Source organism: Homo sapiens, chromosome 6 (assembly GCF_000001405.40).
Source record: "Homo sapiens chromosome 6, GRCh38.p14 Primary Assembly".
Classification (NCBI taxonomy): Eukaryota; Metazoa; Chordata; class Mammalia; order Primates; family Hominidae; genus Homo; species Homo sapiens.
The window spans coordinates 71,326,651-71,341,947 of NC_000006.12; the positions used below are offsets into that span (position 1 = coordinate 71,326,651).

At 38.5% G+C, this 15,297-nt stretch overlaps 1 long non-coding RNA gene across 5 annotated transcripts in view; it reads right to left on the minus strand.

The window, feature by feature from the left end:
* The window catches only part of LOC124901339 (uncharacterized), an 84,723-nt gene extending 75,293 nt beyond the window's left edge, over positions 1 to 9,430 (minus strand). For 4 of the 5 annotated variants that reach the window (XR_007059635.1, XR_007059634.1, XR_007059633.1 and 1 more), the window contains exon 1: positions 1,328 to 1,897. This is a non-coding gene — a long non-coding RNA (uncharacterized LOC124901339). Of the gene's footprint in view, positions 1 to 1,327; positions 1,898 to 3,820 lie in introns of those variants that run through there. The other variant, XR_007059640.1, reaches the window with a different exon arrangement.
* Between the last annotated feature and the right edge of the window lie 5,867 nt (positions 9,431 to 15,297).

Sequence of the window (15,297 nt, forward strand, 5' to 3'; positions counted from 1 at the left end):
TTGGTTTCCAATCTTTGAAGTAGGAAGTGTTGTATTTTAAAGAGCATAAAACAAATTCACAAAAGGTTAAGTGATTTGCTCAATGTCACATAGCTAATAAGAGACCTAGACAGGATGTGAACCCAGCTAGACTGACTCCAGAGGCTAAGACATTAGCAACTAAACTATGCTGACTAATGGTTGTTTATTTTTATGTCACCAAAGTCCAAACAGGACAGAGTAAGATGAGGATGGACAAGCCACAGTGCAAATGCAGAAGGACCTAAATGTTGGAAATTAATCCAGATAGCAAATGATACCTAGGTCAAAGAGTCTTGGCAATCTCTGGTAAATATTTTTCCCAGAAGGTTTCAAACATAATTCAAGTTTATTTAAAAGTCTAAATCAGTTTCTTACAAACCAAAAAGGATTCCATCCTAATCAACTTGATACATATTAATATTAAATGATCATTTTAAGTTATTCTATCTTACTGGAAGAGTTTTAAATCAGTATTCTGAGATGATATACTTCAGTTGCCATAGAATTCCCTTTTGTCTTTTTTTTGTAATATAAAAGTATTCTTTCCTCCATCAACCAACATTTAAAATACATTTCTTTCATATTAGTGGAATTTTATGTGCCTGCTAAGTACCATGTGGAAATAATCAAGTCCCATTATGAACCCAAAGCCAATTCAGAACCAATTTCAAAGCAGTTTACCCACTTAGTATAAGCAGCTGTGCACTTTTACATTTACAGTTTCACATTTAAAATCCCTTTGTTTTAATTTTGAATCTACTTCTTTGATATAAGCTAATTACTTTGGCAGGATCTGGACCATCCTGGGGTTTATATCATAGGGACTCACTGCTCACTGCACCAGGTGGCCAGCTGTGTATGACATCAGAAGATGTCTGGGAGGAAGACTGAGCATCTCCTGAAAGTTAACTAGTTTGCTTTCTTTGCTTCTAGGACTTTCACGGACTTTTTCAGATCACTCAGGCTTGGGTTCAGGCATTATTTCAGTTACTTGGAGAATGAACGCAGGTTCTCCACTAGCCTTATTCTCTTTCAGGGCCTTGGCCAGGAGTATCTGGTTCCTTGGCCATGTTTGTTGAGATTGGGCCTTATGGCCACCTCCAACTCATTTTCTTCCCCAGTTCCTGACCCTGAGGTCAGGTCAAGGGAATGCAGATCCCCGGCAAAGGAGACACCGATGGAGGCAAATCAGAAACTCTCTCTAAGGCATTGAGGGCCTGAGTGATGACTCTGAAAAGGTCTACAATCACCTGAGAAGTTGGGTATTTCTCAAAGAACAGATAGTAAGGATTTAAATGCAGCGTACCTCAGAGCAGATAAACTCCGACTCCCGCTTGAGAAAAGAACTCAATCATTTTATCTTGTTTTTGGAGCAACTAACTTGCCCACCTCACAGCAGGGAAAGGTTTGCTGGCCCCGGGCTCTGGCCTCTGGCCAGTCTTGCTAACTCACATGCCCTCTTCTTCATGTTAAAATTGAAGAGCACTGTCATGGCTTCACAAAGCTCTTTACGGGCATTGTCAGCGTGAACTTGCTTTCATTTTCCATAGTCACCAGCTCATGAGCCAGCTCGACAGCAGGTCCTGACAATGTTCTCTGTGACCTCACACCTCTGGACACCCACCCTAGGACTGTCTATTCCAGCCAGCTGTCCCTCCATGTTATCTGTACATATTCTGCCTCCACTCCAGGAACACCTCACGTTGTCCTGGTATTTTGGAAACTAGGTTTTATTGTGAAATTCAAAGATGCTACTAAGGGACAATAGAGAAAGAAATATTCCAAGTACTTCGAATTAGGACAGATGACTTTAAAAAAACAACATTTTGGCCAGGCGCAGTGGCTCACGCCTGTAATCCCAGCATTTTGGGAGGCTAAGGCGGGCAGATTGCCTGAGGTCAGGAGTTCGAGACCAGTCTGGCTAACATGGTGAAACCTGTCTCTATTAAAAATACAAAAAAAAAATTAGCCTGGTGTGGTGGCGTGTGCCTGTAATCCCGGCTACTCAGGAGGCTGAGGCAGGAGAATTGCTTGAACCTGGGAGGCAGACGTTGCAGTGAGCCGAGATCATGCCACTGCACTCCAGCTTGGGCAACAGAGTGAGACTCCAGATAAAAACAAAAAACCAGCATTTCCTGGTCAAAGAAAAAGTAGCTTATATTTTCTTCCATCATAAAAGCAATTCATGATCCCAGCCTTGGGAAGTGCCAGGGAAATAAGACTATGTACCAAGCACTGCACACATTCACCTATTCAGCCTTGAGAGTAGTGTGGTAAACAGGATAGAAAATGTCTCTGCTCTAGTGGATCTTAATTCAAATTAGGTAAACAGGCAGTAAATAACTAAATCAATAAGATAATTACAGATAGCAGGAAGTCATTTGAAGAAACATTACAACATTAAGGAATAGGGTGATGGGGTGGGATCTGCTAAGGGGCAGGTGGCTAGGTCTGCCTGTGAAGGCAGGATTTAAAAACAAACCTGAATGCTGAGAAGCAGAAAGTCATGCAAAGACCTGAAAGAAGAGCATTCTAAGCAGGAGGAAGGGGAGACATGAAGATCCTGAAGGAGGAATGGACTGCATCTGTTTGAAGAATAGAAGGAAGGCCAGCATATGTGCTAGAGGGCAGTGCCATGAGTTGGGGATGAGGACGAGAACTTGTGGGCAATGGTAATTCTCTCCACTCAGTCTCAGTGCAGTGGAGAGCCTTTGGAGGCTTTAAGCAGGGAGTAACATGATGCAATTCATGCTATAAAAGATCACTTGGTTGCAGTGTGGAAAACAGATTATATAAGGAGAAGAGTGGAACAATTAGACATTATTTCTGTACCTCAGGCAGGAGATGATGGTAACTTTGATGTGAGCATTGGAGGCAGAAGAGAGGAGAATGGATGCAGGATGCATTTTGGAGGGAGATCTGATGAAATTTGTGATGGATTAGATGTGGGTGATAAGAGAAAGCTATGGAAAGAATGAAATCAAGGATGAGCAAGTAGGTGAGTAATGGTAATATTTACTGAGATGAGGAAGACTCCATTTCTCCCAGCAGCCCTTTAAGTTGGGTTCACCTATCCCACCCTATTCCTGTATCTATTTTATTCTATATCTATACATCTAACCTTTATCTATATTGTTCCTATATATACTATAATGCAGAATGGAAAACCAAACCTTAGAACTATAGGGTAACTTGGCCAAGGACACAAAATTAGAATGCAGTGAGCAGGGATTTGAGCCTGTTCTGCCTGAGTCCAGGGTCTGTGTCATAATCACCACTTTGAGATTATCTTTTGCTTACCAGCCAACAACTACTATTGTGAACCTTTTTATTTCCTTTCAGCCATAAGACATATATTATATTTTAAAACATCTCTGACATATAGCGTATAAGTGCACTAGCTTTCTCATCAGCTATTATAATATAAGGGTATTGTTCAACACTTCATAATATTATCTTCTATGCAAATTATCATCCTGCAAATATTTCTTTACAAGAGAATAAAACTATGAGCATCAATGTATGGGGAAGAAACTGGTAAATGGCCTAATAATATTTACATAAGGGAGAAAAATAAAAAAAAGTTTATCTGATTCAGTATTTCTCTAAAGTTTTCATTTGAGAATTTATATATGAAACATCTATGCTTTTAATATAAAGCATCTTGTTGCATATTATTATATTTATTAGTAACTATTTTTAAAAGCGACTAGTTTTACTCTTTAAAGTTATCTTCAAGCCTTCAATACCTTCTAAAAAATATATTCTAGTCACAGTGCTGAGTTGGTGAGTAGCTCACCTGTTTATCAGTATGGAGCTCGGCGTGACAGTGCACACTCTGCCTCATTGCTTTATCCTGACTCCCTTGGTTTCAAGTAACGGATGCCCAATTTGGCTAGTTCAAGTGATGATAATAACACTATTAATATTGTCTTGGACTGGGTTACCTGGAAAGTAGAGATTGAAGTGAACAGGGATTTTAAAATCTGAGTTGTATATGACAGGTGCAAACCTAGGGGAGCCAGAATGAGTAAGAAGGGAAACTACGCAAAGACAGATGGGAAATCAGTGGGATGGGAAACATTACCACCTTGGCTCCTGCTTCCAGAATGGCCAAGTCATTCAGCCGGTCTACCAGGAACTTCTCCAGAGAGGTCAAAGGGAGAAACTGTACCTTGCAGCAGTCCAGGGATGCAGGGAGGGGACTATATCTACCTGATTCCCTCTTATCCCTTTCCCATTGATCAGAGTTTGCTCCATGGGGGGTTCAACTCCCTGTCACTTCTAGCTTGCATCACAAGGCAGCTTCAGTGGCTGCTCAGGGTGTTTTGCCCAGCTACCTGGGTTGGCCAAGGGTGAGGATCCTGCATTTCCAGAAATGTGGGCTGTCTAGGAGGTGAGAGGTAGAGATAATTTAAAGAGATGCATGAGATTTGTTTCTGATATATCGGAATGGTGTTGGGCTGAGCAGTGTGCTTGAATTATCTTATTGAAACCTCATAAAAACCCTATGAGGTATGAAGTACCTATTAGTAGCCTCAATTTACAGATAGGAAAACTTAAATAAGTGATAGAGTGAGAGTCTTACTTACATAGGCAGTTGGATCCTAGAGCTCACAACTTAATCACTATATGTTCGTTTTAAAAAGCCATGGAAGAGTACAAAGGAGATTATTAAATGAATGAAAATCCAGGGAAATACACAGTGGGCTCTTCTGAGAAAAAGCGTTGGGAACTGAACTGCCACTGGGAGCCAGTCCTCCTAGAGGTCGCAGGGTCTCATCCTTCAGGCATATCTGCTTCTTTGTATGATTCTTGGCCTTTTCCTTACCCTATGCATCAGCCTCCTCTGACCCTCCCCTACCTTTGACTACTGCACAATGATAACCTTCCCACACTTTATGTGGCTTCTCTGACCCTGATTCTACTCATCATATCTTCTCACACTCTACCCTTGTGCTACGCTGTCTGTGTCCTGTTTTTCCACTTCCACATTTCTCAGGGAAGCATTGGCCCAACAGGGCAGTTAGGGTGTTTTGGTTGCAAACAATAGAAAATAAGTCTATTATATTCTATTACAAGTGAATTCATTAAAAACTCAGATTACCAGAACCTGTTTGGAATTTATGGGACCTAAGAATTTCCACTAAGTCTTAGAAGCAAGACCTGATGGATGCCCCATGTATGTTATGAGCCCTGGAATGTCCTTTTTCCTTTCTGCCTTGGCATAACATGGCCTAAAGTTCAAGCCCTGGAAAAGTGTGTCTGATTGGCCAAGTATAAGTGATGTACCAGCCCTTAGTTATGCCAGGTAATAACAGAGAAATTAGTTGAAATTAGTTGAAGAAATTAGTTAAAATTAGTGAATCCAGTGATGCCTGGATTTACTTTCCCAACAAGATTGAACATAATCGGGGAGCTAATTACCTAGAAGGCTAATAGGATGCTAGAAGGAAGTGGGTGATAAATGTTGTGTAGACAAAATACGGAAACTGTGTTCCATTCCTCTTCATCTTTTAGTTTATCACAGCACATGACTCATCATTTGCTGATGAGACTATAAGTGGGCTGTTGTTTAAAGTTGTGGCCAGCCTTAATGCATTTCAAAGTAAAATAGAAATGACCTTCCAATTATCTGCTACTTTGAATTATTTATGATGCCACTTCCTTCTGTTTGCACATCCTACATCTGATCATGGAAAATGATTATCAGATAAAACTTTGGCATCTTCTTTCTTTATTTACAAACACTTCTTCAGCATTGGTCTTTTATTTACTACTGTGGCAGGTGTTGTGGGAGATAGGGGAGCACTGCATAAGATGTGATTATCGTTTTCTAGGTGCTTGGAACTGAACATAGGAAACAATAGAAAATAGTATGGATAAAAGAATATAAAACAGTACATAATTAAAGACAAAAATTTCATCTATGTGTATAGTGGAGGTTGAGTATAACTTATGTTAATGTGTGAGGAGCTAGGCGAAATGTGTAATTTAAATCTTGAAAGGATACAGTTGATCTGGGAAAGATAAATTTGTGGTGTGGTAGCTAGTTGATCTATGTCCAGACTATGTTCATCTAAATTACAATTTTTGCTATTCACTTGTTCCAAAAGGTAGGATAGAAGTTTATTTAGAGTCTATGTCTCTTCTTCAGTGTGCTGCTTATAAAGATTTTGTACCAGGGTCATTCTCCTTGGCCATCATCCTATGTAGCCTCACAGGAAGGTGTCACAGTTCTGCTATTTCTAAATGTCACAGGCCCAGCCCACCTGTCTACTGCCATCTTTCTACTGTGAATGTCATGAAACGCCTCTGGGAGCATAAATAACTTTATTACTAAGCTGTAAAGTAGAGCAAGTTATTAATATTGTATGAATTGCATTCAATTCACTTTTTACCTCTAATAGGGTGAGATCTCACTATATTCTGGAAAGTATATCCTTCAAACTGCTGAGTAGCATGTATTGAATTAACTGAATTAGGAAGCCCCATTGCTGCTGGAAATTTGGACTGCAAGCTTGTTTTAATAAGTTCAAGTTTACTTCTGAGATCATCATTTTCTTTAGGAATTCAATTCAATAAGGCTGCCTAACTCTGACAGTAAGTACGAGAAATTAGATTTTATTGTGAAGTATAAACAGGCCTGCAATTGATGATATAAGACTCTAAACATCATCAAGAGGCTTGTGGACTGCTTTGCTATGGGAAGTAATTGACACTGAAAGCTTTTGGAAACTGAAGTTTATAGCACTGGGCCCAAATCAATGATATTTTATTTTATTTTATTTGAGGTATTTGAATAGGGCATTAGTTGGCATGTTCTAATACCATGTGATGAAGCCCAAGTTTGGGCAAAGTATTAACCTCCTCTACAACAAACAGAAGTTAGACAAGGTTTTAAAATTACCACCAGATCTTTGAGGAACAGAGGAAGAAAGTGTTCTAGAGATACCACAAACTGAGCTTCATTTGATGTGGGTTTATTTCTCGTGGGCCACTAATAATCACATGTTAAATTTTCTCCTCCATATTTAAAGATTGAGAGTCCATCCTACCCTTTATTATAAGTTGATTAAAAAACAAGACTCTCTAAAAAACTCAAAATACTGGGTTCTAGTCCTGGATTTTCCACCAGGTCACAAGATTCTTAGCCTTTATGTGTCCAGTGACAAGAAACATGACTCGTAACCTCGGTTTGCACAATCTTCTCTCAGGAACTTCCCAGGGAATGTGCAATTTCTGGCTCACAAGCAGGGAATAAGCTGATTCATTCTTCTGCTCAAGAATGAATCTTGGAATGCAAATGAGCATGTTATAGGAATAATCAAAATGTGATCTAATTTCTGAAAAAAAGTAATAATTTTCAACTGTTACTCTTTTATTATGAGTAACAAACTACTTGTGACATATTTTCAAGCCATGGTGACCTACTGTGAACACCTGGCTGGGAACTGCCACATTTGCAGTCTGGCTGACCATGAATGAACCAGTTAATTCCTCTGTTCTTCACACTCCTTACATGTAGGCATCTTCCAGTTCTGAATTTCTACAAGTACTGTCACCCAGCAGTAACCAATCCACGTGGGGCTACTCTCTATATATTTGTATCATGAGAACATAAGAAATTGCCTTGCTTGTTAAGTCTTACAGTTCCTTTAACACCAAATTCTGAATTTGACAATGGCACAGGAATATGATTTGGAGTATGTAATTATTTTCACTGGCATTCAAATAAAGGTTTATGGCTACTCCCTTGAAAATATTCACATGTTCTTCAAGGTCCATGTTGGATCTGTCAACTATTAACACATAATGAATGCAATAATATTATGATACAAATATTAGTGTGATGTAAATACAAAATATATATCTGCAATCCTTTCCAGCCCTTGGGGCACTAGCCTGTAAGTTCCAGGAGAACCCGGACTGTCTGATTTGTTCACTGTTCCATCCTCAGAGCCTGGCACAGAAGAGATGTCCAGTAATATTACATCCAGTAATATTTTTGGGTCAATTAAAAGATTCCATAGTAATTCCTTAATATGTAAGGTAGAGGTTTTAAAATTATTATTACCCGGTCTTGTTTGTTTACACATGAAACAAACCCAGCTTTAAAGAACTCAAATAAAAAGGAAAAGATGCTGTTTGTGTGATTAATTCTAGAACAAAAGGTGTGTGCCTGGTCTTGGGAGCAACTCTCAGGGGTCCAAATCAGCAGGCTTTCTGTCTCCATCTCTCATACCTCATTTACCCCAGTGTCCTCCATAAGGTGACTCATAGTCACAGGTAGCATGTCAGTCACATTTCAGTTTCCCCATCAGAGAGGGGTTTCCTCCTTTCCTTAGTTTCAGTTTGACTCTGTTATTTTTACTCACTCTTAGCAGCAAAGGTTAGGAGACAGGGTAAAGTTCAGTAGAAGGCCTTTTGTCAAGGATTTGCTAGTTCATGTTTAAACATGGGTTAAAGAAGGTTAAAAGGGATATTTCTTAAACATTTTTATTATACCTTTAATTGATTTGCCAATCTTGTGATGTAAAGCCAGGATCTTTTTTTTAAATTATTAAACTGACACTGTTGTTTGGAGCTACAGCTTGTTCTTCTTGATAAAAACTGACCCATCCATGCATCATACTTTTCAACTGTGACTTCTTTAAAATGGAGCAAAGATTTAATGATACTTGCAATATATCTGAGTGAAGAATCCATCTGGATGTTTAAAAATTTCCCTTCAATTGTGTATAATGGTATTTCCCATAATTAATTTGTCAGGATATTTTTGTTTGTTTTGTGATTTCCTTTATCAAGTTTTCCCAAAGCTTTCAGAATACATTTCACAGAAATAAAACTTTCATTTTTGCTGTGCTCATTTTATGTTTGTTTAATATTTAATGAGATTACTTGCTTATCATAACTAGTAAAACTGTTATAAAGATGTGAGAACAAATGCAATAGACTTTTGATTACTATGCAACTCAAAAGGGGCAATTGAAGTATGCAGACATTCTGAGAGATGCTGCCTAGCCACAGTGCTCAGTGGGTCCTGGATACCTGCTGGTCTTTTTAGCAGGTGAATGAAAAGCATCTGTTGTTCTGGTGATTCACATCTAACAAAGGTAACACTGAGCAGTGTATGGGAGGGACAGATAGGCACACATACAGACACACAATGCATAATGGGGTGGTTTGCAATAAAGATATGTACTGTGAGAGAAAAGCAATTCTGCCCAAGGGTAGGATGTAAGTTGGAGCTACTTCTTTAAGAACAGCAAAGAAAAGAAAGAAAACAGCAAATACCAAAGCAGGGATGTATAAAAGAATATTACAGAGCTTGTCAGAGAGCCAAATCATGAAAGAACTCTCATTCACAATTGCTACAAAAAGAATAAAATACCTAGGAATACAGCTAACAAGGAAAGTGAAGGACCTCTTCAAGGAGGACTACAAACCACTGCTCAAGGAAATCATAGATGACACAAACAAACGGAAAAGCATTCCATGCTCATGAACAGGAAGTATCAATATCATGAAAATGTCCATACTGCCCAAAGTAATGTGTAGATTCAATGCTATTCCCATTAAACTACCCATTGACATTCTTGACAGAATTAGAAAAAACTATTTTTAAATTCACATGGAACCATAAAAAAGCCTGAATATCCAGGACAATCCTAAGCAAAAAGAACAAAGCTGGAGGGATCACACTACCCAACTTCAAACTATACTACCAGGCTACAGTAACCAAAACAGCATGGTACTGGTACAAAAACTGACATATAGACCAATGGAACAGAATAGAGAACTCAGAAATGAGACCAGAGGCCTACAATCATATGATCTTCGACAAAGCTGACAAAAACAAGCAATGAGGAAATGATTACCTTTTTAATAAATGGTGCAGGATAGATAACTGGCTAGCCATATGCAGAAAATTCAAACTGGACCCCTTCCTTACACTTTAGACAAAAATTAACTCAAGATGGATTAAAGACTTAAATGTAAAACCCAAAACTATAAAAACCTAGAAGAAAATCTAGGCAATACCATTCAGGACCTAGGCACAGGCAAAGATTTCATGACAAAAATGCCAAAAGCAATTGCAACAAAAGCAAAAATTGACAAAGGGGATCTAATTAAACTAAAGAGCTTCCACACAGCAAAATAAACTATCAGAGTGAACAGACAACCTACAGAATGGGAGAAAATTTTTGCTATCTATCCATCTGAAAAAGGTCTACTATCTAGAGTCTACAAGGAACTTAACAAATTTACAAGAAAAAAAAACATTAAAAAGTTAACAAAGGACATGAACATACATTTCTCAAAAGAAAACATTCATGTGGCCAAAAAACATATGAAAAAAAGCTCAACGTCACTGGTCATTAGAGAAATGTAAATCAAAACCACAATGAGATATCATCTAGTGCCAGTCAGAATGGCTCTCATTAAAATGTCAAGAAACAACAGACTCTGGTGAAGTTGCAGAGAAAAAGGAATGCTTTGACACTGCCGGTGGGAATGTAAATTAGTTCAACCATTGTGAAAATAGTGTGGTGATTCCTCAAAGACCTAGAGGCAGAAATATCATTTGACCCAGCAATCTCATTACTGGGTATATACCCAAGGAAATATAAATCATTCTATATTCTATAAATCATGCGCTTGTATGTTCACTGCAGCACTATTCACAATACCAAAGACATGGAGTTAATCCAAATGTCCATCACTGATAGACTGGATAAAGAAAATGTGGTACATATACACCATGGATTGCTAGGCAGCCATAAAAAGGAACGAGGTCATGTCCTTTGCAGGGGCATGGATGGAGGTGGAAGCTGTTATCCTTAGCAAACTAACACAGGAACAGAAAACCAAACACTGCATGTTCTTACTTATAAATAGGCACTGAACAATAAGAACAATGGACACAGGGTGGGGAACAACACACATTGGTGCCTGTGTGGTGGGAGGGGGGACAGGAGAGCATCAAGAAGAATAGCTAAGGGATGTTGGGCTTAATACCTAGGTGATGGGCTGATCTGTGCAGCAAACCACCATGGCACACATTTACCTATGTAACGAACCTGCACATCCTGCACATGTACCCTGGAACTTAAAAGTTGAAGAAAAGAAATATTACAGAGCTTGTGACGACTTACAGTCGGGGGTCCTAGATTATTAAAAACTGAGGAAATGTCAAAAAAAATTCATAAAAATTGTGTTATATTTTGAGTTGCCACATTTAACAAATATAAACCACTAGCACACACACATAAAAATGCTGTCCCTAAAGAAGATATCCAGGCAGTATGGGCCACCAATAGTGCATGTTTAAGACTGTGTGATGAATAGCTGAATGATGACATACCCTGTCAGTGTGTTTATGTGACTCTCTATATAATATCATTTGGAGATAATGCCAAAAGCATAACTTTGAAGTGGCAATAAATGCTAAACCATAGCAAAATGGCTGTTTGCTACACACACCTCCCTGCTCATGTACACCTGGAGCAGGTGACTGCAAACTGAACGTGGTAGGCAATGGATAACATGTAGGGTAGATTTTAAAGAACTACCAGAACTAAGCAATAATGGGAGGTGAGACAAATCATGAAGAACTTTGCAGCTATGCTCAGAAATTTGGAATAAAGGCAAAAGAGATCTCAAGAGTTCCCTTCTCTGAAAAAAAGATAGTGACAATGACAAGCCAATACTTGCATTTTCCCATTCTTTATGTCACTTTCTTAAAAGACTGTGATCTTCTGCTAAAAATATCGAGTGGACTCAGAATTAAATACCAAATCATCGTGTACCCATCGAACAAGATGACAAAAACATTGAAAAATAGCCTTAGTTGAGTAACTTGGGATGTGGAATGATCTGGCTTAAAGATGGAATTTTGGCTTATGTTGAATATGAAAAATGTTCAAGAAAATGCTCAGCACAGGAGGGTTGCACAAATTCTGATGTAGATAAAGCATCTTAGGATCCCACAGGTTCTGCTGTTCTTCTACAGGCTTCCACCATCATCACTCACTCTGACATAATCTACAAGGGATTTGGCTGGCGATGTCTCTCCCTCCTCTGGTGCCATATCTTTACCCTAGCAGGTATGGTTCCTGGTGATAGATGTCATAAACATGCACAGACAGCGTGAACATAAAAAGGTTGTGGTGTCTTAAAGAAAAAAAACAGCAGGGAGAGTGATGCTAGCTGTCAACGAATGTGATGATAAAGCCTATTTTTTTATACTTGTTAATAACTTGAAGCTTTTTAAAGAAAAAAGGAGTATGCATTTGGAAACATTATGAGGAAGAATAACCTTTAATTGAAGGAAGTATATCTGACAGTAAGTCATGGATGAATTTTTAAGAGGAAAGAATACTACTATAATGATTTCCATAAACTGGAAAAAATCATGAGGCAGTTGACAGGTTTTCAAGCATTAAAACTTTCCTTTTAGCCTTGAGTCATAGAGTTTGATTCTTTCAGGCTTGACCAGGCACTGACAGGGCTAACATGTTGACTCTCAATGCAACTGATTGAATAGATTAAGAAAGATTTTAAGCTATATCTGACATTTCTAGAAGTCATGCAAATATAAAACTGTTTAAAATTTTGATGTTCACTTATCTCGACTAATTTTATTTTTCACATGGAATTAAAAGATCTTATTTAAATGATAAAATGATGGAAATTTACAATTCCATTGTTGATCAATAATATAACAGAATTTTAAAAAGCCAATTTGAAATAGTAGATAGGGTACAGGTAGTGAAATGAGAAGGTTAAACTCTGAAGTCTTTGCAATAATGATTAGACTCAGACACCTGCAAGGGCCCTGAAATGGTAATTTGTTGGGCTTTGTTTAAGAAATGCAGTTGTGAACTGCAGTTTAGGTGACCTGTCACCATTAGGACTTGCCTGTTTTGACCTTAGAGTTTCTAGCTCTGCTCAGTTCTCAAAGGAAGAATCCATCTATTCTGTTTATTAGACTCATGAATGAATCCAAACCAGCATAAATGGCAATTGCATATCGTGGTATAGAAGTTTCCCCTTCGGTTGGAAGCAGTGGATCACACTTGTAATCCCAGCAATTTGGGAGACTGAGGAGGGTGGATTACTTGAGGCCAGGAGTTTGAGACCAGCCTGGGCAACACGGTGAAACTGTCTCTACCAAAAAAAAAAAAAAAAAGTTTCTTCTTCATTTCTGCCTTTCATAAGTTATTGATTTGATTGAGATAATTAAACTATAATTGTATTATGTGTTGCTACTGCCATTTACCCACACTAGTTTTACATATATTAATCTATTTTTAGGTGAAGGTGGTGGTTCACCAAGGGCAGCATATTTTATTATGACTCACAATAAGAAATGTATTGTATGTCAACTTAATATATATAAATATAAATTTATAATATCAACACATATTAATAAAAATTCTCTATTATGTAAGAATTTTATATACAAAATATTTATATATCTATATAATATTTACATAGAAATTACATAATTATATATATGAATGAAAGTCTCACAAAACAAGCCTTATTCTTACCACTAGTGATGCCCACTGACAGGACCCCATAGGGTGTGTAGCACTCCCAAATCAGTGTCTCAACACTATTCTGGCAGCCCAATCTCATACAATTCTGCAAAAGAAATCCTGTGCCAGCCGGCAAGAGTAATTCCCTCACCAGGCCACCTCCTGGAACCAGGGTCCAGCCACAGGGCCCCAGGATGACCCCACTGGCCAGAGTTTCAACTATTTGGGGGCATCTGGTTGACCCTACATGAGGGCGAACGGTTGTAGAGTGGGGCATTCCAAAAAGGAGGAATAGGAAATGGGACCTATGGGAGTCTCTGACCAGCACTGCTGGCCCCATCTAGTACTACGCACTGTGAGGAAGCCACTGCAGTGAGTGGTGGGAAAAGATGCTAAGATTACCGCCCTCTGATCTATTTTACTCTATGCTATTATATTTCACAATTTTAAAATGTCTTGTGACCCTCTAGACTGACAATTTCCTATCATTGTACGTCTTTCTGTCTTTCCATTCAGTGTCCTGGGAGAGAGAATTTGATCAACCGAGTTTGAATAAAGTGTCTATGTCTGCACTAATCAGCAGTGTACAAGAGGAAAGGAGAGTGCGATCCTGAGGTCCAGGTATGGCCATTTTCCATCCCAAAACTCCTGCATGAAAGAGATGCATTTCAGCAGTGGGTATCCTGCAAGCCAAGCAGCCACCCTAGATGGCATTTAATAGAGAGACAAATAGCCTGAGGATTTGGGGCCCCAGGCCTAAACTTCTCAAGGGCTGTAGTCCAAGGGATGTTGACAAGTAAGAAATATTACATGATTTTATGGAAGGAGAGTCCAACAAATGAAAGGATGAGTGATTTACTCAGAGTCACGTGGGGAAGAGACAAGGCTAGATCCATGTCTCTTATTCCCAGTCCATGACACCTTGTTACTTATTCAATGCAATGGACTCAGAAATCTATTGGCATTAAAACTACTTCAAAAAAAGCACACACACATAATCCTAGTTAGTAAGATGCTCTTCAGAAAGCTGTGTCACTGCTACATATCTTATGTAGTATTATAAGGGCTTGTTTGATCATTTGCCCTGGTACTCATAAAGGTCCAGCAATCTGTGATTTCCTGTGACACATCTTTTTCCTTTTTTATTAGATTGGAAAAGCATTTTCCTTCTTTCATCTTCAGAAGTTTCTTTATGTCCTTTATAATTCCTCAAAATGATTGAATAGTGGCTCTGTAGTGACAGCAGTAAAGCAATTTGTGATCTTTCAAAAAGATGCAGTGCAAGTAAAAATTATTACTCTGTGTTAACAAAGTAACATATGACACCTAATATATTTTACTCTGATCCTCATGTCCATAACTGGCTTTTCCAGAATTATGACTATGAAAGTATATCTTTAAAATGTGAAACAGACATTGGTCAAACTGGAAAAAAAGATTTGTATACTTTTTTTTTCTTTTTAAGAGTCAGTGGGGTTATAGCCATAGGCATTTGCAGAAGCATTAACTGCTACTGTGTGAGGACATTTGCAGCCCCAAGTTAAGCTTTCTATTTTTCTTTCTGGGTCTCTTTCAGAGCCCTGGTAAAAAGATTTTTTAGTATATATCCAAAAACCCAAGACAAGGGCCCTCACTTGATCTGAATTTATGATGGCCACATTACACTTGCTGACTACCCCATGATATCTCTGCAATGAAGAGTAATGCTTTACAAGTATCGCTGTGTGTG